General features: G+C 37.6%; 1 long non-coding RNA gene across 1 annotated transcript in view; it reads left to right on the forward strand.

The window, feature by feature from the left end:
- Positions 1 to 8,444: 8,444 nt before the first annotated feature.
- The window catches only part of LOC105375977 (uncharacterized), a 46,773-nt gene continuing 29,591 nt past the window's right edge, over positions 8,445 to 25,626 (forward strand). The window contains exons 1-3 of the long non-coding RNA XR_929484.3: positions 8,445 to 8,706; positions 8,889 to 8,991; positions 14,180 to 14,303. This is a non-coding gene — a long non-coding RNA (uncharacterized LOC105375977). The remainder of the gene's footprint in view (positions 8,707 to 8,888; positions 8,992 to 14,179; positions 14,304 to 25,626) is intronic.

The raw sequence follows: 25,626 nt of genomic DNA on the forward strand, positions 1-25,626 counted from the left end.
TGTTCACTGTCATCTCTTCAATAATTATCTCAGGTCTGTCTTCCAGTAGTCACTCATGCTTTCTCCATCACACTTTTTTTTTTGCAGTATCTCCTCGCAGTCTCCCTACCTTTCAGGTTGCCTGTGAAGTACTGTGTATCCATAAACCTCCCACAATCTGATATGTTTGGCAGAGAAAATCAGGGAAAAGGCACGTTGATTGTGCTGAAAGAAAAAAAACAAGCAAAAACAAAATATGGATCTGCCAATTACATGCTGGAGTGAAAATACAATTCCTTCTTGCTTTCAGGTGAGGGAGTTGGCAGGTGGGGTGTGAATTGGTAGGTAGTAGGACTTTCAGTAAAAAGAAGTGTAGCAAATGCTGTATGATGGGTGTTTTTTGGATTTTTTGTTGTTATTTGTTTCCTTAAGCCCCAATAGTGTACCAGATAGTAGACTCAAGATATATATATATATATATATATATATATATATATATATATATATGCACACACACACACACACACACACACACACACACACACGTAATGATTACCTGTCTTTACCTTGGACATGTAGGATTAATTAAGATTACAAATAAAATTATAATAGGACATAAATTGCTTCTTACCTTTTTGAAAGAAAATAGATATCCAGTGGAGGTAAATGGTAACAATGTCCTGGAACCAATGAGATAATCATTAGGCATAGAAGTGACAACCTTAAGAGGAACAAAACAGAGACAGAGCCCTAAAGGACTTAGGCAGAGTTTAATGGAAATTTTCCTGATTTCTCATTCACTGCTTGCATCACCTCTACTTCCTCCTTGTGTACTTTGTTTTAGTGTGAGACAGCGGAAGTGGCTAATAATATTTCCTCCCCTCAGCCAGGATGCTTTTTCAGCTTCAGTTGGTCATTGAAAGAGCCCATATTGCTATGATTTTCTGGAATATTATCACTTGGTCCTCCAAAATTTTGTTTTTAGTATATAGAAAAAAATCCTTTATGGGAATAACAGGCAAATTAATGTTTCTAATTATGTATATTATTCCGTTTATATATCTGAGAACTAGGGCTGGGCACGGTGACTCACGCCTGCAATCTCAGCACTTTGGGAGGCTGAGGTGGGTGGATCACTTGGGTCAGGAGTTTGAGACCAGCCTGGGCAATGTGGTGAAACCCCGTCTCTACTAAAAATACAAAAATCAGCTGGGTGCGATGGCGGGCGCCTGTAATCCCAGCTACTTGGGAGGCTGAGGCATGAGAATTGCTTGAACCCAGGAGGCAGAAGTTACAGTGAGCCAAGATCATGGCACTGCACTCCAGCCTGGGAGACAGAGTGAGACTCCATCTCAAAATAAATAAATAAATAAATAAATAAATAAATAAATAAATAAAATAAATATGTGAGAACTACAAGGACATTTAAGTAAAAGGTATTTAAGGATATATGCTATAATAGCAATCAAAGAGAAGAATCAGCAGGAAATTAATCAACAATTTATAAAATTGATAGTCTATGTACGGTTAAGAAAACCCAGGATCTTTGGATCACAGACACTTGGATTTGAATCCTGTCTGTGCTACATTTGTGCTACAATGACATTTAACCTTCCTAAATATGTGTCCTTATCTGTAAAATGGGGACAGAAATACATAGAATATTTTTTAAAAATCAGAACTAGTGATCTACTATTTGTGAAGCATGCATGGTAATCTGTAACCCTCTAAAGACGTTAAAATCACCTGGAGAGCTTTGAAAATCTGTTGATGCCCTGTTACCATCTCCGACCAATTACATTCAAGTCTCTGGGGAATGGACCTTGGCATTATAGTTTTTAAAACCTCCCCAGGTGATTCTAGTGTGCAACCAAGGATTTCAACAACTGGTGGAAAAGTCGAAAACTGAATGAACACTCAGTAAATATTTTCCAGCTTTCCTTGTCTATGTGGTATGAACATTAGCCTAATTAGGATGCAGATTTTTATTACTCAAAAAAATTCTCAAGGTCAGTTCAAATCTTCATGCCTTGAAGGTAAAGAAGATGAAACCAGGAGGTTAGTGGACTCTGGTCATATTGTTAGTGGTGGCAATAAGACTGGGATCCCAGTATTCCTTTTAGAATTTCAGAGTTGTCCTTCCTAACACACCTTTTAACAGGGAAAGAGTTCTCAGATGAGGCTAAGCTGATCTTTCCTTTTCAGCAGTATTTTATGGCAATGAGGATAAAACTAGTGTCAGAAGCGAAGGATTAAACCTTTATCATCTTCATCTTGGTCTAGTAGCATTCATTCATCGAAATTTTTGAGCAGAAAAAACAAACCTCAGCCCTGCTTCCACATGGAGGGCAATGCATATGTAATGTGGCTTCTGAAATTTGGTGTCTTAAGGCTTCTCCATCTCACTGAGGATTTCCTGTGCAATTGATATGGAAAATCTGAGTGATTTACCACAACACAGTTATGAGCCATCATACAGGTGCATTTAATTTTTAATTACTCTTAAAAATGTTTTTAATAATTAGTAGCAATAACCACTAATTGGCATATAAGCCATTCTTGCACCAGCAGGCAAACTGTAGGTTTACTTCAGCACACCCACACCCAATCAACTGAAAATTGCTTGAATGCTTATCTTATAATTACTGTGCTTAATGCTGTTTGCATTGTTTGGAAGCTTTTGTGATTAATTGATTTTTTTTTCTTTTTTTTACCTCTGAACCTGTAAATGAATGGCAAAGATTAGTCTTCTGCTCAGTGACATCTTATTTACATTGAGTTGTTAGGCACATTAAAGGGGAAAAATTATGGATTTTGTTTTTACATGCCAAGTGTATTTCCTCTGTTTATGCTATGGTTATATAGACCCCATATAGAAGTTGAAACTGCTCTTACTACCTGCATGTCTTGTGCCAACGCTATGCAGAATGGCACAATTACATTTTTAGGCCAACTATTAACCTCTACGCACCTTTATACCTTCCACTTATTTTTCTGGGTAAAGGGCAATAATTTGAGAATGCCTCTATTTAAATAGAGGCCAACATAATTCAAGTTGTTTAGTTTATTCCTTGAGCATCAATAATTGATATATATGCATGCTAGTAATTGTGCTTTTGATCTGAAAGTGGCAGTCACAATTAAGCTCAGAAACAATCATAAAATAAACGAGATTATTGGTATGCTAAGGCAATGTTTGAAATAGATGATAGATCTGCCAATGTTTTCATAGTACTAAATGGCAAATAAAATTTTATGATGACAGAGGCAAAGGATAAAAATGTGACTTTATAATTGTAGGCCATTTTATATTGGTGATGAACTAATGAAGACATGGACGTGGATATTTCTTACTCTGTTTATTCACTCACTGTAAAGTTATTGGGAATATGATGTGCCAAGGAATGTGCTAGACAATGAGGATATGGAAAAAATAAGTCATTGTGGGAAAATGTGGTCTTGGGAATTAGAAAAAGTCAGTGAGAAAATCTTGGTCCCATAACTAGTAACTGTGTCTAAGACATTAAGAAAATTAACTGATGTCTCAGAAAATAATTTTTGTCATCTGAAAAGGGAGAGTATTACCTACCTTGAAAGCTCATTGTGAAAATTAAATGAAATACTATACATAAGTATTTTGTACTTGGTTGGTGTGCAGTATTTAATGCATGCCTGCTATAGTTTTAATTAGACCAAAGAATCACAGTTCAGTGAGAGAATGCGATACACCTATCTCTTGCAGGGTTCTTTGATTGCAGGCAACAGAAACTCAGAGGATCAACTAGAACACTGGAGAATCAGGCTTGAAAACAGAGGAAGAACTAGGCATATATGTAAGGATTTGGGTACCAGGAACTTCTCAACGGTTTTGGAGGGCACTGCTGGTGTACAAATGCATTCAAAATTCCCTCCTTATTTTTGTATTTTTGTTCTCAAGATTGAAAGTCAGAGAGTGAGGAGAAGAGAAAGAGACAGAGAGAGACAGAGAAAGGGGGAACTATGGATGCCACTATAAAATAAACGGTGATGAGTGATTAATAACCCAAAGTCCACACAAAATATTATGTAACACAGAAACTGATTACAGTGCCATGAGTAGGGTTGCCTCCATGGACATGTCATTTTGCAATTACAAAGGGCCCTATGCCTAGCAGGCCCTACACTTTGTTTAATGTTCTGTGTCACCATTTTGAAATTCTTAATAATTTATGAACAAGGGGCTCCACATTTTCATTTTGCTTTGGCTGCACAAATTTCATAGCTGGTCCTGGTCCCACGTTCTAGAGTGGGGGTCTAGTGCTGTAGAAGCACAGAGAAGGGAGAACATCCAGGTAGGGATTCATACAAAGACCAAGGAAGGGTTCAAGGAATGAGAGTTAAAGTTTCAGGCAGAGATGGCCACATGGAGAAATGGGAGAGGGCATTTAGATGATGAAAACCTAGAAACAGAAGCCATCAGCAGTTCTTATTATGAAAGATATTAAGCACAGTTCTGGCATAATTTCCACTGAGTCATTCTCTTTAAGAGCCGTAAAGCAACTAAATTATGATTATAGATTGGAGAAAACTCCCTCTGTCTAGAAGTCTGCAAAACAACAGAGGAGGCCTGCAAGAACTATAGGCAGAATCCCACCAGAGCTAAAAAAAAAAAAAGTGGTGTGTTTTTAGGCCACTAGAAACTTATGACTTAACTGTCATCTGGGTCTTCCTTCTACCCAGCCTCCTCCTGAAGTCACTGGAGTAAGAGCTGTCCCCAGTATGGAATCCTGTCTTCTTGGCACCGAGCTCATGTATTTATGGTAGTGCTTTTGAGTGGGACTGTGGGGTGAAGAAGCAGAGCAGTTTAGTTGCTTTCCATGTATTACTTTAGAATTTATGCAACTCTGCTTCTCAGTGTTCCCGTAGACCATGACTTCTCCCATTCTTTTATCAAACGTTTTTATAGAATCTCAGGATTCTAGCTCAACTCTTTTCCAAGGTATGAAAATCCTTAATGTGCTCCTCCAGTGCATTCCAGTTTTCCTTTTTTTTTTTTTTTTGAGATGGAGTCTTGCTCTGTCACCAAGGCTGGAGTGAAGTGGCACAATCTCGGCTCACTGCAGCCTCCACCTCCTGGGCTCAAGCGATTCTCCTCCCTCAGCCTCCCAAGTAGCTGGGACCACAGGTGCGCGCCATCATGTCCGGCTAATTTTTGTATTTTCAGTAGAGATGGAGTTTTGCCATGTTGGCCAGGCTGGTCTCGAACTCCTGACCTCAAGTGATGCACCTGTCTCGATCTCCCAAAGTGCTGAGATTACAGGCGTAAGCCACTGCGCCAGTCCTGGGTAGATTTAATTGTCAAAAATTTCTTTCTATTGAGCTGAATTTGCCCTCTCTGTAACATTCACTAAGACATGTTTCGGAGTCACCCAGATTAAGCCTGACTCCTCTTCCTTATGCAAATTGAAAACATGTTCTCTAATTACAGTGAAAATGTTATTTGCCCTGCCCCATTCCAGTGAGAAAACATGTATAAGATTTCCTTTAAAGAAAGCTTCTTAGAGTAGTTTGAGACTCTCCTATTAGCTGAATAGGATATGGTATGGTATGTTTCCAGGATAGCACAGACCTGGAAGTTTCCCCTACAGATTCACTTTGTCTTCTAAACTTCATACTCTCTATGGGAAACAACTTCTCCATTCCCTCTGTCATATGTAATGCACCAGGCACATATCCAGCTGAAGCCATTGCATGGGAGACAGAGCCAGTCACAAACACACTTGTGTCAGGAAGGATAGCCCAGACATTCGCCATCTGTGTCTCAGCTTTCTCCTGCTCTCTTCTTAGGTTGCTTGTCTAGGGACACACCCACACACTATTTCCCACCCACCCTGACAATGGGAAAATTGGCACATTGCACAATTTTTGAGAGAGGCCTATTGTACAAGATTTCCCCTGAATTATAGTGAGTTTTTTCAAGGATATGCTGGAGTATCATGCATTCAGATGGGTGAGTTGAAGTTAATCTACTCAATAATAACAACAAAATCATCTTCAGGATGACTTTGTTTGTTTTGTAGGGAAATCAAGTCAATGCCTACAGGCTTTTTTTCATGAGCATAAACATTCGTTGCTTAAAAGGGAATTAGAATTGTACATATTTGTATATTTTCCAGAGAGTCATATTGACCAAGGCCTCTTCTACAACCAAGAACAGAATACCATGTCTCCTTTTCTTGAGTTGCATGGCAATATGCCGCCTCTTAATGCTGAAACCAAAACCATGGCATTGTGCTCCCCTAGCCCTTGAATATCAGTTTCAGGAATACAATAAGAGATCGCCCAATTTTCTCCCCTTGATCATCTCTTTCTCACTTCTTATGCTCTAATTTTCTTTGTAGTTTTTTTGCACTTGATTATTTGATCCCTAGCCAAGGAAGAACTGTTTAATCAGGAAGGACTTAACTGGAATTGAGATGATATCAGCAACAGATACAGAAATTCAGAGAATGTAAGGTAGAGCTAATTATTAAAATAGAAGCTAGACTATTTATAGAGCACCTACGCTGAGCCATGCTCTCTGATGGGAATGAAGCATACATTTTCTTTAATACTGCCTTGCAACTCGCGGGCAGAAATTATACATTTTAAAGATAAGTAAAAAGTAAACTGAGGCCCCAAACATTTATATAATTATCCTTAATTCAGCTTGCTTTTAAATGGTGGAGGTAGGATTCAAAGACATTTGACCTAACTTCTAAAGTTAATGTTTCAAGTGAAGAAATGAATAAAAAATTCTGGTCTTGAAATACTTGGACTTGGCTGCATGTGATTTATACTATCTTATAATGCTACAAGATGCAGTGTGCATGCATATATCACATTATTTCTGGTGTAATCTGGAATTCCTTTAGCTAAATATTGAACTTCTAAGATTTTATAATGGTGATCAAGATTTTGGTAACAAATGTCTTGCTTTAAACCATTCCAGACTGGATGACAAGGACATTTATATGTGGAGCTATAGTTGATTTTGCAACAGGGAACCATAATTTTTGTTAATTCTGCTTAATGCTGTTGGCACGGTCATTTGTTTTCTTGTAGCGAAGATTGAAAAAATTAAAATATATATTAAAATATATTTTGGATGTACACATTTATATCTGTTTATTTTTGTTGGAGAAAATATAGAGCTGTATTCAGAGGTAATCTTTAGCTTCAACTCCATTTACTATTTCAAAAGTCATTCACAGTGTTAAATCACAATGTGCTTCCCTTTTCTTTTTTTGGCCTAAGCATTCTATGTTTCCCTGTTCTTTTTTGCCTGCCTTAATAAAATAGAATGTCAGTCCTCTAAGGATGACAATGCAGGGAGAATTAAAATATAGGTAGGATGGCCAGATTGGGCAACTATAACGTAGGTCCAGCAGGGCTGTCCCCTCTGTGAAGGAATTACTCATTCCTTGGCCACATTCGAGGGGGCTAGATTTGCTTTTATTAATTGAACTAGCAGGTGACAGCAGTAGAGTAATACAGACTTATCTAATACAACACAAATAGAGGCTCAGAGATCCATCCCAGGGGGAGAGTCTCTATTACCAAATTTGGAGGATCCGGGCTTAGTATTCTTAGAGGAGCTAGTGGATTTTCTTGCTAGTATTACAGCTGGCTAGTATGTAAGTATTAGAAGGTTAGTTTCCTTAGAAATGATCTAAAATAGGAATTATAGGCAAGAGAAGGAAAGGCTAACAAGGCTAACATGTACTTTTTAAAAATCCAGGTTTTTCTTATTTCCCAAGGTCATTGGGAAATTCAAATCAGAACAAGATGTGAAATCACAATTCAAATAGTAAAGAATTAAACTAGCTGGTGACAAATAGATGTATATTATAGTCTGATTTAATAGTCATAAATCCTAATATCTGGTTGGAAAGCTTTTTTGGCTTTGCTTGTAAAATGTGTTGTTTGTGTTTATTGCTGGAGTTAGGTCATGGTGTGGCTGCTAGGACTCTGGGTTCTCAAGTAAGAGGAAGCTTACATTCTTCACAAGCTTCCCCACAATGTGATCTTAAATGCTTTATCATGTTTGCTGTCTGAGATGTGATAAAAATGCCCATATAGGGTTTGGTAAGGAGCACATGAATTAATATACGGAAAGCATTTAGAAAGTAGCTTGGCTCAGGCTAAGTGCTCAGAATTGTTCTGTGTTATTTACCATTAAGCAGATAGAATATTAAATATTTTCAACACTCATCCATAAAAGTCTTTGGTGCTAAAGAACCTTTGTAGTGCCTGGGTATTTTACTTCTACGAAGACTTCAGCTGAGAAGCACTTCGTTCTGAATGGTGTTGATATTGAGGACAGTAGGCAGGGGAAAGGCATAACTTCAGCTCCCAAGAGAAAAACTCCATGCACTTCTGTGCCTTGGTTAAAAAAAAAAAAATGATTAACTTATTCTATGGAAGGGATTAAAATACTCTGGAGAGCCAAGAAGTTTGATTGTCCACAGAGAGGAAGCCATATATCCCTGAACACACGTCTGTGGTCTGTCACAAACCAGGGTTGGAACTGCAGAACTCTTAGACACCGTTGTTCTGAGAGAGCGAGGAATTGTGACTAGGGATTGCGAATGCAGCCTTAGGACATAGTTACACTCAGCTGTGTGGTGGTCCCAGTATTTCATTCTGTGGCACCTTGACTGGACATAGTGGCATTACATGTAGGAGGCAAATTCTCTCCAACATGAGGTGCTGAAACAACTTTCACACTTCTCAGTTCTTCTGCCCTGGTCTTCAGTTCCTCCGTGTCACTTTTTTCTTTGTAGTATCAATAGACATCTTCAGGAAACTTTTGAATTACTTTTAAAGATTTATGTTATAATAGATAACCAGACTTATAAATGATCTCTCAACTTTCCCTACTTTTATAGGTAAAGAAAGCAGGAAACTGTGACTAAATGAAGATCACAGAGCCAGTTGATCAGTGGGGAAGCTGCATCTGAAATCCAGGACTTCTAGATCCTGGGTCAACTGGTAAGCAGAAAGATCTACTAGTAACATACTGGATTTATTAGATAATAATATGATGTTGATTATTAAGGCAGTAAATATTTTTGAATACTTATTATATACCAGCCATTGTTTTAAGTGCTTTTTATTTACTAATTCATATAGTTCTTTTCATAAGACTATGAGGGAGGTATTATCATTATTCCCATTTTACAGATGGATAAACTGACATATGGTGAGATTGAGTAACTTGCCCAAACTCACACAGGTGTTAAGTCACGTAACTAGGATTTGATTTCATATAATCCAACTCCTGAGTCCATCCTTTTAAGTACACAGATATGCTACATGTTATTTAATTCTGCCCACACATAGAATAACTTATTCCTATTAATCTGCTTTACTTTTAAAAAAAGTCTACATCTTTGGATTATTGATTAGAAACCAAAAATTCATCAAAAACCACACATGCCCATTTTATACCTTTCATATAGTTAGCTATGTACACAGGAAACTTTTTTAAAAAATTAATCAGTTTCTGTGTATACGTTAAGATCTACCACATAGAGGGCGTTTCTCTGGGAAGGAGTGAGCAATACTCAGATTGTTAACATATTCTGGCCAATTAAGTTAACAAACAGTCATGCATAGAGTATCCACTTTTGAAAAAATATTGAAAGTTGAAATAAACTTGACACTCAACTGTACTCATCATAATTCAACTTAATTTTAATTCTGATTTTGAGGGCATGGCGAGTTTTGTAATGGCCTCCAGTCTTCCCTATTAATGTAATTTTACATTCCCAAGAAGGATGGATACAGAAGGGGTTAGCAATTAAACTGTCTTTAAATGATACTTCAGGAACTTGTGTATAAGTTATTTCATATGACTATATCCTGGGGGTCCACTTTTTCTATCTGTCACTTCCTTACATTAAAAATGCAAAAGGTGAAACAAATTTGAGTTATTTAAGCCAAGTGATCTGTTGGAGACCCTGACATGAGAATTTACCTACACCTTTAATCTATACATATGCCACAGTGGGATTCACAAAAAGGGGAGAATAGTAGGAGATATTGTCTCAGTAATAAAAACATCAAACTTCATAAATGATAGGATTTGCACATGAGAACTAAAAATTCTGAGTAACAACCAACATCTACCATCCACAAATTAGCAAGATAATATTTATGCTCCATATCCCAATACAAAATATTTTATATGTGGAAATTTGGTTTTCCTTCCCCAGAGAGTATCCAGAGGTTATTATTTCTTTATTATTGTTGTAATTGTAATATTTTTACTCCCATTCCAAATACAAAACTCTCATTCAGCTCATCGTAATATAAAAAATGTCTGTGCAAAAATCCCATCTAAAGAGTTCTTTAGAAATTTGAATAAGATGCGTACTCTAATTTTGCTATAGAATTGGTTTTTTAAAAAATGAAATACTGAGCATGATCAAAAATAATTATTTTCTTTGCAGGAGTAGTAATGCTAAAAACTTGCTGTATTCTTGCAGATCTCAAAGTTTGACTCTATTCTTTATTTGGAATTTACCCTATAGCAAACTAAAAAATAACAATAGGGAACACACACACACGGCACATATAGACAAAGAGACAACTTGCATTGAGGATCCAGTCATCCATCCCCGGAAGAGATGTGTAATCTATGTGTAACAATACTTAAATCAGCACGACATTTACAACACATATTAAGTGGTTTGTTATTTATTTCGAGACTTTAATTGGCACAATATATTAACAGCATTGTTGTAAGGTTTCCACTGAAGGCTTTATTTATTTTTTCCTAAAAAGAGAAAGAACAGGGAGAAAAGCAATCAACCAGTATTACACTGTTACCCCTGTTTTGTTATTCCTTTAGCCTGAATGAACTGTTAAAGTTGAAGGAAAAAAAAAACTAGCTTCAGAAACCATATTTTAGATTCAATCCAATTTTATTAAACCCAGAGCAGTGTTTTTTCTGCCATTCTAATAGAACCTATTATGAGATTTTTTTTTTCCCAGGGACAAAAACAACACCAACTTTCCCTCCCTAAGAGCTTCTTATTGTTCATTTTCGTTGCTATTTGGAGAAAAAGCTCATTAAAATATTATGAAGCGCATAGCATAATTACGTGCCAGCCTTTGCCAATGAGGAACATCTGTAGCACAGTGTATGTATATTTATATTACAGTAAACTTGAGTGCAGACTCTCTCTTTCACCCCCTTCTTTACTTTGCCTCTGTTCTGCAATTCTTTGTCCTGACTACAGAACCCGGCAAATGTGTGAAGCGCACAGGCTACAGTGAGCGCATTGTCAGCCTCTCGGGGCTCCAGCGCCAAATGTTATTATTCTATCATTAGCCTGTAGCTCACGCCAGGGTAAACTGTGCTCTGCTAAATGCCTCCAAACCTTTTTTGCTCTTTTTATTTCCCCAGTTATTTTTAAAATGTATCTTTTCCTTCGTTCGCTCTCTGGCACAGAAAGCTTTGCAAAGTGCATCCAACACACACCCAGTTCCCAAATTCGTGCTTCTCTTCCTTCTTTACATTATTCCACTTGCTTTAAAACCAAAGAACCTTGGGCATAATAAAAACATTGAGAGCTTGCCTATACCACAAATATTTGTGGAAAGCACATGGTGCCATTTTGCCAGACTACTCTTATTTGTTAAACTGAGTTAAGTGTAACGTGATTCCAAAAACTGCCTTTAGAATGAAAGAAAAGGCTTCTAAAGCCAGGGAGATAATTACCGCAATCTGGGTTACAGAAAATGCAAAACAAAGGAGCACAATCCCACTTTGTGTGTGTGTTGTGTGTGCGTCTTTTTGTTTCGTTTTGTTTTGTTTTTTTTCTTTGTTGATGTACCCAAACATGTAAATATTCCATGGCGTGTGTTGTACGAAGATGGAAATCAACCCGAATCTTTCACAGACATAACAAAACATACTCTGTAGTGGACAGTGGCATGTTTGTGGTGGGAATATCTTTTTAGGAGGGAGGGCTTTCTGTCTGTCTTTTTCTCTCCCCATCTAGCACACACACACCCAGGAGTTGCAGTTGTCACTAGTTGCCAAGACTCTGACACCCAACTACCCTTCACTTGAAACTGTCAATCCATTTTTGCACACATAAATAAACGTCGAGTTGCAAAGAATTAGGGTTCTAAAATATTTCATATGAATCCATAAACATGCTAAAGAATCTTCTAATTCCCCTCCCCCATGTTTTTTTTATGGCGATTATTATGCTATCAGTCTCCCTATTGTTGGGAAGGTTGTCCTCTGGGATAGTTTTGTAGACCGGACGGTTCTCAGTTTTCCTTTCTTTGTCTGCCAATTGTTTCTAGATTGAAACCACTTTCTGAGAGAGACAATTATTACCATACGTGTATGTGTATGTAAATATTAATAATCATTGCATGTATGTATATTTATGCATACAAAAATAAACACTATCCCCACACATATTTCTCATTTTTTAAGTACTAGTTCTTGCTTCCATAAAACGATTTGTGTTCCCCAGTTTCTACTTCATAAAATGTACTTTATTAAAGAGAAAGAAAGCAAATCTTGTACATTTCCTTGTTTGATGTTTAGAGTAAGTGAACCTTGCAGGTCTGAGCTAAGCTTTTTGGTATGTTTTAGCTGAGTCCAGATTATGGGCTATAGGTTTCGAAACTAACATCATCCAGTTTTCTCAAAAACCGTCGTGGCAGTTCTCTCTTTAAATTTCATCTGGACTGTCTCTAAAAGCCCTAGCTGACCCCATCATGTCCTTCTTTTATTACTAAACATGCTTCTTTCCACATGCACAATGACATGGTATTTTTCAGGGCAAAAGGCAAAAATATATTAGGGGTTTCTTTCCTTCCAGATGTAGACATCTTGTCACCCGAAGAGCAACCAGAGGACGTAGAAAATGGACCTGATCTCAGATGAGACAAAATAGAGCATGTCACTAAGGTGCATGTAAGGATAAATCCATGCAGCTCTAGAAGCAGGATTTGGCAATAGAACTGTCCCATTGAGCCAAAAAGCCAGCCAGGGCATGGAAGCTTGTTATTATGGCTTGCTCTGTGAGTAAGACCCGCAGGGAGGATGTGAAGGCTGCTTAGTGGGAAGCCTGTTTAGAATATGGGGAAGTAAAAAATGAAATGGGTCTTGAAGGATTCCGAGTCTAATCAGGCTGTGGATATTCCTAACCTTCTTAAAATCTAAAAATAAAAAAAAAAGATAAAATTGCAATTATTTTTAATCCCCAAAGAAGATCATAGATCCCATCTTGAAATTCTGTTACATAAAAGACAGGTAGTTCTAAACATAGACATTTTTAAACTACCCATCAGAAACTGGGTGAGAAGCAGTGCATTGGAGTGAAAGTACAGGCAAGTGCTCATGATTAGAAATTAGCACTAGGCAGTTCATGAGGGAGCTAAGGTGAACCACATTCACAATTTTGGTTAAGAAAGCCTAAAATGCTAACTATCACTATCTGAATGATGTTTAGCATTGTTGGCTCTTCTCTTCTGTGTCTTTCATTTTTGTTTCTAAACATAATTGAATTCTTTTTCTCTTCACTTAATATTAGAATGAACTATGTGACATTTACAGTTTGGCATTTTTGACTTACAAAAATATAATTTATATAGTTCGGCCTAACAATTCTGATAATCTAATTTCTTGTGATTGTTAGAGTCAAGTATTACTTTTATTTTGTTTGTTTTGTTTCTTTTCCTCTGCTTCCACATTTAGTCATCCTTCATATTTTAATGCCTGTTGACATTTTGGAAAAGTGAGTATTTGGTTAAATGAAAAGAAACCATTTAAAACCTGTGTTTAATGTGCACTCTAAATTAGATCATTTTCCCTTCAATTCTATTCAGAGGGCCTCTGTATAGAGCTCAGTTTTCCAGATCATTTGGCTACTGCACATATTAGGGCCAGGATGTCATTTTGATGGCCTCAAGGCCTCTACTTCTCTTCAAGTTTTGAAAAAAGGGCAACTTGATTTTAAAAATAATCCATGTAAAATAATTAGGGTCAGAGAGACAAATGTGTTCATAAGCTCTATTCCAGAAAGTGATCCTTTCATAAACTCAGTTCTCCCGAGGGTGGGGAAGGGAGTTTCCATAAAGTATTGTCCATATGCTTCCTAACGTGTGGGAAAGGGAAAGAATGGCTCTTTCCTCCTCTGTTCTCTAGGAGGGGTCATGCATTCTGGAAAATAATGCAGAGTGGTACAGGCTGAAGCGGAGCGGAGAGGACACTGTTTCAAGATTCCTGCGCCAGCTCCTTCGTTGTTATAGAAGTTGGACTAAATAAAAGGGTAAGGACTATCTGAATGAGAATCTAAAATAGCCAATGCTATGAGAGTTTATTCTAGTGAGAGATTTTCAGCGTGTTCTCCAGATTTTAGGGGAAGAAGACATGAATGGAGAAATTAAAGACCAGATGTATTTTATCTCCTCTGTTGCAATTGGACAGCAGAAAAAGCGGAGCCCAACACACATCATCAGTTTAGGAATAGCAATCAAAAGGAGTTTTAAAAATTTTTATATAACATGGCACAAGTAATGTGTTCATAAAAATCCCAGTTCTATTTTACTTCCCTGGCATATAACAGCTTTAATTTATATTAGTTTAAAAAGTCATGTTGGCATAACTCCTGAATATGAGTTTTGCTTAAAAAAATTTCCATAGCATCACTAGGAACTAAAAATATTAATCTTCATATATCTCAAAATAATAATAACGCACCTTTATACTATTCTTTATAATTACTAAAACTAGAAAAAAATAATATTTATTTTGAAACCAATAGGTGGTGCTATAAATTTCCATATTTTAATTCAAAGCAATATGTTCATTTTACTTTCCATTCCTCAGCGGCATTAGAAATATTCCTAATTATCACAGTATGATTTTTTATGGCAAAAAAAATCCTGCAGTTAGCCACTGCGATCTGTCTCTTTTCCAACAGAAAACTGACTATAACTCAGAGTGAAAGATAAAGGGAATCTACACAATTTTTGACAGAAAAGTAAATTTATGGAAACAGATCCATATATCATTCTTTGTGGTCTCTGTTTTTTTCCCGTAGTTCTTCAACTAATAGGAATGCTATGGAAGAACATAATTTAAATGTTTAATTTAATATTTCATTGTATGAACTCTCCCTAGGGGCTAGATTTATATAAAAAGCCATAACCACAGTAGTGATAGATCACAATTCTGTATTATGGACTCCCAGAATCATGGATCACAGCTTAGAGAACCTTAGAGATCAGGCAGCTGCAGATGAGACAACTGACAAAATAAAAGCCGAAAGTGCTAGAAATAGGCACTTGATATTTGTCATCATGGGAACCAACATGTTTCTGGTATAAGAGCAGTTCTGAACATTGGAAGACACTGACAAATGAAAATCCAAATTCTATTGCATCTTTCAAGTGTAAATAGTATTTTCACACTGACATGTTTCCTTAATGTATATACCCTGAAGATATACATCTAAATCCTTTCCTTCTGTTAGAAAAGCTATGGAAATCTTTCACAACTTCTCTCTCTCTTTCTCTGTGTGTGTGTGTATGCATGTGAGTGCACACATGTTATAAAACTGGTATGTTGAAGAAACATAAGAAGTTCAATGAGATCTTGTAAAAATGCCAAAAAGGACTATGGCAGCTGCAACTAGCTGCAATATCAACCCTATCATTCCTCAAACATCTGGGTGATTTCCACCTCTCTTCTTCCAGATGTTTTGGTATCTTGTGGAGATAGCCTTAAACACTTGTCAGTATTGAATGAGCAGCCTCGTTTCTTATTGGGAGATGTGTTTGTAGAAGACATTATAATTTGCAAACGATTACACTGTGTGCAGCAGACAGTTTCCTCCTTCCCACCGGGAGACCTTTCTGTGCTGGCTAGTTATTTCCTGCTTCCCCAAGGCTTGCTTTTTTCTGCCCTTCAGGGATCAGCTGCCTCCTCCTGGCTTAGCTGGTAGAGATTGGACTGAACCAACTGTTAAATAGTCATTTTTATATTCAAAAAATATTTTGTAATATTGAAGATACAAAAAAGAGGAAAGCATGTCTTAAGAGTAGAAGTAAGAGTCCCTTAGGAGACATTAATAGAAATGTGGGAAAAGGAGTTGAGATCTTATTCTATGCTATGCTGCAGAAAATTCAACTGGAGCATTATGTTCAAGACTGAGCACCGCATTTCAAAATGGGTTTTGACAAATCAGGGCACAACTGAATGGAAGTAGCAAGAATGATGAAGAGACATGATATGCCATATGAAAAATGGTTTAAGGAACTGCAGACTTTTAGTTTGAATAAGAGAATATTGGTGAGGTTTAGTAGGGTTGGATATGATAACTGTCTCCCAGTAATTGACAAGCTGTCATATGGAAAAGACATTAAAGATATTAGATGTAATTTTAGCATACTTATCAAGGATTAATAGAAAGAAGTTGCCATTTGGCATCTGATTTCACTGTCAAGATATTAGCATGAGATGTAAATAGCTTTCTTTCACTATTATAAAGTGAAATACAACACAAAATGAATCCAGCTATAAATTGAAGTGAAATAGACTTAAATAAGCATGGCGTGTTTGGGCACAATAGCAAAAATAAACTTCTTAAAAATTGATCTATTCAGTAAATATTTATTGTACACCTATAATGTACCAGGTATTTTTCTAGGCAGAGGAAATAAAGCAGTGGACAAAATAAAGTTTTTGCTCTTACAGAGCTTTCACTTGTAGCTGAGGGGTATGGAGTCAATAAATAGAGGAACAAAAATATGCAATATATCAGGAGGTGCTAAGTGCTATAAAGAGAAAAGGATAAAGAGGTGGAGTGCTATTTTGGATAGAGAAATTGATCAACACTACCTGTACATTTGAGGCAGAGGCTGATGAGAGCAGATCACAGAAAATGTTCCAGTAGAGACTGGTTAATCAATTTGGGAGGGATAAAGTATTGGCACATATTTCTTTCTGTGCTTATCTACCCCACTAGCTTATACGTTTATTTTGAGCATGGGTAAAATGGGATGAGGAATACATATTTCTTCACGTCTAACACTTACTACCTGCTACACTGGGGTGGAGTGAAAAGTCTACAGGGAATTAGGCATTGGATATATTGCATGAAAGTACCCAATCAATGACATATAATTAATTTCCTTTGTAAGCATTCACTCTCTTCCTTCTCTTTTCTCAAGTCTACATCTTCCCTTTCTTCTCTAAGCCCTGGACTAATACAATAGTATTAGTTTTATTTTTTACTATTGCAAATATGTAAGACCTTCAGTGCTACGATTGATAAAAAAGAAGTGTAAGGAAGATAAGGTTGCACAGAAAATCATCTAATCCCGCTAGTCTCAGTTACTTTCAATGCGGGACTCCCTTCCTGACACTTCTTATAAAAATAGGAAAGGTGATTCAGCTTTTTTTGCAGGGGAACACAACTTGTTTAATTAGGATTAGATTCAGCTGCATGGAAATAAAATCTAAATAACTGTGGCTTAAAAACTAAAGGTTTCATTCTCTCGTAAAAATATCAGAAGTTGGAGATACAGTGCAGATAAGGCAGTAGTATAAAATCTTCAGAGATCCAGCATCCTTTGAGGATTTCATCACACCTAGAGTGAGGCTGTCTTGTCTATATGGTCCTAGGAGTTGCTGGAGGGCCAGTCAACCATATGAATTTGAACTTACGAAAATGAACACTAATATCTGAATTACTTTCATCTGCTTTTATGTAAGCATTTCTATTTAGTAAACGAACTTGGATGTTAAAAAATATGGTGAATACTAACCTCTTTAACACACAAGAATTATGAGACCCAGAGAAGTTAAATACCTTGCTTGAGACCCCAGAGCTAGCTATTGATGGGAAGAAAGGAAAACTTAAAACTCCTGATCACATGTGTCCCATTTTCACTGTTAGGAGAGTCAGTATCTTATCCAAATCCCATGTAACAGTGAACATAGAAGAGCTGAGAAAATACCACACCATTGAATCTACCCACCAGACTATGCATACCTTCAGTGTTCAGTAAATATTATCATCTACTTTAATGGTGAGGAATATTAGAAAATAATGATATACTCCATCTGTAGCAACATCACACTGTTTTGAAACAACTTGACACCAGGACAACAGGAGAAAGTATAGGAGATGCTGTTTCTGGGAGCATAAGAATAACACTAATGTACCTTTAAGAAAGTGCCATTCAGTTACTGCACCAATTTGTTCTGAAACATCCTTCTTTTGCCCTTCTTTTATTCCCTTGTTTCAAAGAATTTTCAAAGATGTTTGGAAATGTGATCCATTAGCTATAGCAGCCATGAAGATGTAGGACAATTGATTTGGTAAGATGATATGACAATTGCTTCTTTAATATCAAAGCTATTAGAGAAAATCAGGGCTTTGCCTTTATATGATATCTAAGTAATGCAAGCCATTAAAATACAGCCTCCATGAAAACTGGGCAAAATGGTTTCAAATAGGGGTTGAGTATGTTTGAAACAGAGAAATTTGACAGAATCAGTTCCTATTTTGTGTATAGTTGAACTGATTGAATTACTATTTCTGCCTAGAACCACAGAAGCTCAAGAGACTCCGGGGCCTAAACCACAAACAATGGCTCTTTTGTCTAAGAGGAACCCATGGTGGGGCTATTACACACAAACATGTGTGATTTCAACCTAGAGCAGAATAATTAAGAATTCAGCTTCAGTCCAGAGCAGCTTATGCATCTGCCTACAGGCACTCAGCCCAAACCTTGATATAAGAATGGAACATACTACCACACACGAAAGTAGGGAAAACGTTTTTCCTTTTCTCAATTATTTAAAAGTGACAATTAATTGTACCTGTGATTTGCTCCGTCTCAGTTTTGAGGCATATAAAGGAACAATTTCTCACATTTATGGGAGAATGGTGTGAAAGTCATTGAAATTGACATGATACAGAACATTGCCACATTGGGATCTACTGAGGAAACCAGACAGTGGAAGGTGATACCCAGATGACACTGTTGGAGCGATTCCTTCCATGAAGCTGCACATCTGGATTGTGCTGCTGCCAGGGAGAAAGCAGGCACTTCTATTAGCTGTAGCTCAGAATTAAAATGTAGAGAAGCAGAATGTGTTCTGCAACATGCCAATGATGTAAAAATGTTCAGGGTGAGATGTTGACTTTTGTGTGGTGTGTGTGTTTTGTGTGTGTATGTCAGAATAGTTTGCAATATTATGTGTTCATGCTTCTGAACAATAGCATGTGCTCTTTTAAGCACAAGTTACACCATGGGCCCAGTAGGTTTAGGCACACTTCATGGGAAAAGCCCACTTTATGTGTGTCAAGAGAATAAGAAAATGGCAGTTTGTCCATAAAGTCTTTGTCTGTAATTAAGATAGACACATAGCTGGTTGATTAAATGATATTGAATGATATTTTCTTTATCCCTGAATCCATCAGGGCTGGGCACTTGTAGAAGGTGAAGAAAAATGTTGATAGATTCAGGTATGCTTTGAATGTAGTAGGAATTTAATATTTATTCACCTAGTATATACAGACCATATATACACATTTAAATATATAATTATTGCACTGCTCAAGAATAATATTGTTTATTTCCTGTTAACATCCATCTAGAAGAAGAAATATTTAAGTCATATAGTAGAGCCTATCATCGATCAGGATTAGCAACCAATGAGGCCAGTGAATCTGACTCATTTTGCTCATTATTATTGCTGTTTATAGTTTGTATTCAAATTCAAAGACCAGATTCCTAATGAGTGGTTAAAGCCTAGGATGGTGCAGTGATATGGTTGGTTTTGGGGATTATATACCAACAGCCTGGATAGCTAGAGTGACCCAAACTAAGCAAAGAACCTTTTCATGTGTCACTGCATTTCATTGTATGACATGATTCTACCACGATATTTTATAGATACAGTGACATGATGCATTAATAGAAACAGAATAGTTATTCTGCAAGATGTATCTTGTCTTGTTGGCTGGACATGTAAACTGAAGATCCTGTAAGTATTCTTAGAGCCATGGACCTACCATAATATTAAGGAGTAAAGAAAAATGAGGTAGAACACACGTTTTCTATTCTCTTACTTTTGATTCTCATATAAGTCAGTGTTGGTGCACTGAAATGGTGGCAGCAGAATCATAAGTTTATTTAAGTTGTAATTATGGAATCTGAAAGCTGGAAGAAAACTTGGAGGTGTCCAGTCAACTTTCCTTATTATAGATGAGAAACTCAGGACCTGGAAACTTTACCCTTTCTTATCTCCGGAAACTAGAGTCTGAAATCCAAGCCACAATTCCTACGGCTTTTGTCTCCTTTATCTGCCCCATTGACTCATTAAGGCCAAATATATGTTATTAAGTAAAAACAAAGTTTATGCATGTTCTTGCTATGTAGCTAATTTATTAAACCTCCAAATTTAACTTCCATCTACTTCCAAACTCCCCAATGCCACCCAATACTCTCTGGTTACCAGAAATTTTAATTATTGTCCATGGCTGAAAATCCTTCCTTCTACAAACATTATAGTGGTCTTAATTTTTCTGGAAATTACCTAAGAATATAGAGGAACCCCAAATAAAGGGGCATTTCTAAAGTTATTCTTAAATTTTTGATTGGCTCCATGAAGATTCTGTGGTGTGTAGACAAAAGCCACTTCTGAATTTTATCCCCTTTTATTCACTTGACTGCTTCTCCAGAATCCATTCTGTTAGAGGAGACTCACCCACACCAAAGAGTCCTGGCCACACTGAGGTAGAGAAGAAGGCTATGAGGCCCTCTGGACCAGATGCACACTGCTCTGGAGTTGGATGTAAGCAACGACGGCTCTGCAATGCAGTGCAACAATGGGACTCATGATGTGTTACAGTGGGTAGTAATGGAGTATTACCCTATGGCTTCTAAATGTGCAATGAGAAGCCACCAACTATTTATGTATCTAATGAGCAAATCACACACACACACACACACACACACACATACACACACACACTTTAATTTTTATTTACTGTAAACTGGTTAGGTTCTTCAAGCACACAGAAAAAATCGAGTCTTAGAAGTATTCAATTTGCAATTTGCTTCTTATTTATTGCCAAAGTGAGCGCAAAACCAACAATAATGAAATGGTAGAGCTCTACTATCCTGCTCTGAGAGTTGCTTTTTTGCACAAGAAGCATTTTCCAGAGTTGTTTTGTATAGGTCCTTGGACACCACTTCAGTGTTAATGGTTCTGAGATGTGGGGGCTTACACTGAAGTAGACTAAATGTCCATGCATTTTGCTTAATATTGAAAAAGATCTTGTGTATGTTTAACTAGAGGGTTGCATTAGTGTTCAGAATGCATATTTTTATCTTCGTCACATCTCAACGGATTCTAATGCTTGTTGGGGGGCACCCCTTAGTCCCTGTGTCACCAAGGAGGGGCTGCCTGGTGAGATTTTCACATGGCATAATTCTGGCAGTACCTCTGGGGATTCCACCATCCGACCCAAGCCTGGTCTCAGAGTTTTCAAAATGTCTCCAATTTTATAAATGCACTTTCAATTAAAGATAGTCATTCCCCAGTAGTTAATTAAGGAAGTTTGTATTTTGTCATTCCCTGCTTGGAACAAGTGAACAGCTCAGTTTCAGCGTGGGAACAGGAGGAAAAAGAGGAATGCAAGAAGGGCTTGTGAGGGTACATCTGCAACTAGAACTGAAGATTGGACAGTTCCCACATAGGCAAATTCTGTTAAGGCAAGTATGTGATCACATGAAATCAAGCAATACTGTTATATTAAAGAATACAAATAAAGAGACTTCTCCAGAGAATATTTTGTTGGGAAATGTAAATAGATAGGGAAAAATAAGTTTAAGTCTTGCAAAATTTTAGGTTTGATTTTCTGGGAATTTGCCACATGATAAAGCCTAACAGAGAATTCTAGATATTATTCTAAAAATATACTGAGTTTACACAGTTTTATTTGCTTTTTGTACTTAAAGGGGGTAATAATACTTATTTATAAAATTCTGAAAGTGAGACATGCTTTCAAGAATTGACAGATTTCAGAAGATAATTGCAAGGGCTATTTGTAAAAGTTCAAGTTTGGCTGAAAGGTCATTGGTTGAGAATTGCATCTTTATGCTGCTTCTTTATAGCATTTATAACTATATAGTATATTGTTTCTATATCTATATATTATATGTAGATATCTTCAAATATGCATCTTATAAGTATATTTTTGCTTAAAAATGCTTAGTAAAGAACTCTAATTTCAAACCCTGAGTATATAAAATGATGCACAATTTCACCAGAATTTCAGAATAAAAAAGGCTCAGATGTTTTTGGAATTAGAATAATCTTTGAAGGAAAATCCCAAGTTTACCATAACCAATAGGAATAAAAACTGCCCTAGGTAGAGAGAGATTCAGCTCTCTGGTAGATTAGCTAGTGGGCTAAATCGCTGGCAAATTAATTTTATATTCCCTAATAATTAGCTTTGTTAATCTTGTGCCCTAAGAGACTTTCTATTCATGGAATCACAAACAGCATTTGTTGTTGAAAAATACTAACACTAGTGAAACCTAACCCAGAAATAGACCCTATTAAAATATGGCTAACTGAGTTTCATGTCAAGGCTAAGTAAAAAATACAGTAAAATAAAATAAAGCCAAATTTGTCTAAGGTGGTGGAATGTGTGGGAGGGCATGGCAGAGTATGAGATGTTTAATTTTCTGGAATAGCATCCTGTATCTCTTCCACCTCCTAAATGGCCACTGTGGAAAGCAATGTCATAGACCCACCATTAACACACCGTCTTGCTGTGTCTCACATCTGATTTGGTCCCCAAATCACCCAGAGAAATCAGCACAGCTGGCAGCTGTTTTTTTTTTTTGTTTGTTTGTTTGTTTGTTTTGAGACAGTCTCACCCTGTTGCCTAGGCTGGAGTGCAATGGCACCATCTCGGCTCACTGCAACCTCTGCCTTCTGGGTTCAAATGAGTCTCCTGCCTCAGCCTCCTGAGTAGCTGGGATTATGCCACCACGCCCATCTAATTTTTGTGTTTTTAGTAGAGACAGGGTTTCACCATGTTGGCAAGGCTGGTCTCGAACTCCTGACCTCGTGATCCACCCGCCTCAGCCTCCCAAAGTGCTGGGATTATAGGCGTGAGCCACCGCGCCCGGCCTGGCAGCTGGTTTTGATTGAGAACTATGGCATTAAAAGCAATAGTAGCAGTCGGCCGCTGCTGATAGTGAACTACCTTTTCCTGTAGAATAGAGAGCTAATTATTTGTCTTGAGATTTCTTCCTCTCTTCAAAGGAAACCACTTTGATTCCTCCAAAGTTGTCAAGCATAAAAGAGCCCTGCCCCCAAATTGGGATTGCCTTTTTTCATTTTCCTCATGTTTTCTGAGATTTTCACTGTTGTTACTCTGGTCTGCATATCCTGTTTTTCTGCTTCTACTCAGACATGCCAATTAAAGAAAGATACAGTTTATTTAAAAAATATGGTCCTAGTATTGACTGTAAAGAGAGCTCTTAAACAGACCTGAACTCTTCATTGGGATTAGCTGAATGTAGTAAGTAAATCCCATGTTGAATGGTGACCTTGTAAAGTCTCCAACAAGCAGGGCTGTATTGAACTTTGCAGCAGCTTAAGTGAAACAAACCTGCTTCTTCCCTGGGGCATAGTCCTGGGGCAGGCTATGTAATGGGCAAGATACCCACTGCAAGAGGCTGCAAGAATGGTCTAATGTATTCATTTCCAAAATGTGGTCCCTAGACCAGCAGTTTCAGTGTCATTTGTTGCACATTCTGAAGCCCCTGACAAATCTGGGTGCTCAGCACACTGTTTCAGCAAGTGCTTCAGGTGTTTCTGATGCATGCTAGCATTAGAGAACCACTAATCTAGTGCATAACAGGCTTTACATCGACACCTGTCTATGTAAGCATAGTTTAGCTTCACTGTAGGGGAAAGACAGCATCTTGAATTGTAAGAAAAGTTGGATGGGCAGATAAGTCAATGGGGAAAAAGCACCCTTATATCTTGACTATGTAAGGACAGCCTGATACTTAGATATTTCTCCTTCTCTTTCTTTTTCTTCCCTACCACACATCTGTCACACACACACACACACACACACACCCCACACACACACCAGTTTACAGATACTGTACCATTCTTTCCATAATTAGTTGTTACTATACATTAGACACCATTGCAGAAATTCAGAATACTGTAATGAACAAAATACACTAAGCCCCTGATGTCATTCTGCTTATAATCTCATAGGGGAGAACTTCGAGCCCATAAGCAAGTGAATACATGCAGTGCAATAATGGGGCCGGGAGTGTAGGGAGTGACAGGGTAGGGATGGGGTGCTATTTTGGATAATGTGGGTAGGGAAGTGTAGATAACTCTTGAGCTCCAGCTCATATCTTCTCAGCTCTTTCTTATTTCATACTTCCCTGCATCAGTCAGATTCACATAGGCATCAACTAACAACACTTCAATTTAGAGTTACCTTGCATCTCCAGTCTCACACCACCTCAGTTTCATTGTACTTTGCATCTCTAGTATGCACAGGGGATTCTCTGCCCTACTGAGAATTATCCGTCGTAGCCATCTTGGTACATGCATGTGCTCACTTGCTCAAGGAGGGTAACATGGCATGGGGCAACCCTTGACCAATTGGAGATGAGGGGCTGGTGGATAAATGCTCCCCTTTTTCTCATCTGGGAAGATTATTCTGGGGAGCATTCTACATGATTCTTGAAGGGAGTCATCTAGACTGAACTCTGGTTACCTACAACAGTGGTCAGATATCATAACGTACCTTGATTTAGATTTTTCTACTTCATCCATGACTTCTTTCCCTGGGATCGAGTCCCTCCCAAACCACTTGAATTCAGGCCTTTTCTTTGGCTGGGCTTTTGGGAGAACCTGGACCAAGACAGTAGCCATCTCTGAAGAGGTGGTATTTTGGTTGAGATGAAAGAGACATGGGGAAGTCATGCACATAGCTTGAGGAAGAGTGTTCCAGACGAGAACAAATGTTGTGAGACAGGAATATGCTTGGCATGCTGAAGGATGAGTGTGCAGGCTGGTGTAGCTTGTGTGGAGTAAGCATGGGGGAAGAATGAACGTGGTAGGGGATACGGTGCAAGAGGAAGCAGGATGCCCGCTCACGCGGGGCCTCAAAGGCCATCAAAGAGATTCTGGCTTTTCCTTTGAGTGAAATGGAAAGAGAATGGGGGATTTTGGGCACAGGAGGGGCATTAATCTGAAAGATGGTTTTAAAGGATCACCCTGGCTCCTCTAGGAGAGCAAGGGTAAAATCAGCAAAACTACTGAGGAGGTTTTTGTAGCAACTCCGGCAACTTGGACTGTGCTGGTAGCAGTGAAGGTGATGAGCTGAGAGAACTAACCGTTGAATTGGATATGGGGTGAAAGAGAGGAATTAAGGATGTATCCAAAACTTTTTTCCATTCATTTTGAATAATTGAAATGAATGGGGTTGCCAGTGAAAGTATTGATGAGAGAATTCCTGAGCAAAATAGAGGAAACCTGATTTTAAGAAAAGAAAACCAAAACATGTTGATTTGTATTCTGGT

This window comes from Homo sapiens, chromosome 9 (genome assembly GCF_000001405.40).
Source record: "Homo sapiens chromosome 9, GRCh38.p14 Primary Assembly".
In the NCBI taxonomy this organism is placed as follows: domain Eukaryota; kingdom Metazoa; phylum Chordata; class Mammalia; order Primates; family Hominidae; genus Homo; species Homo sapiens.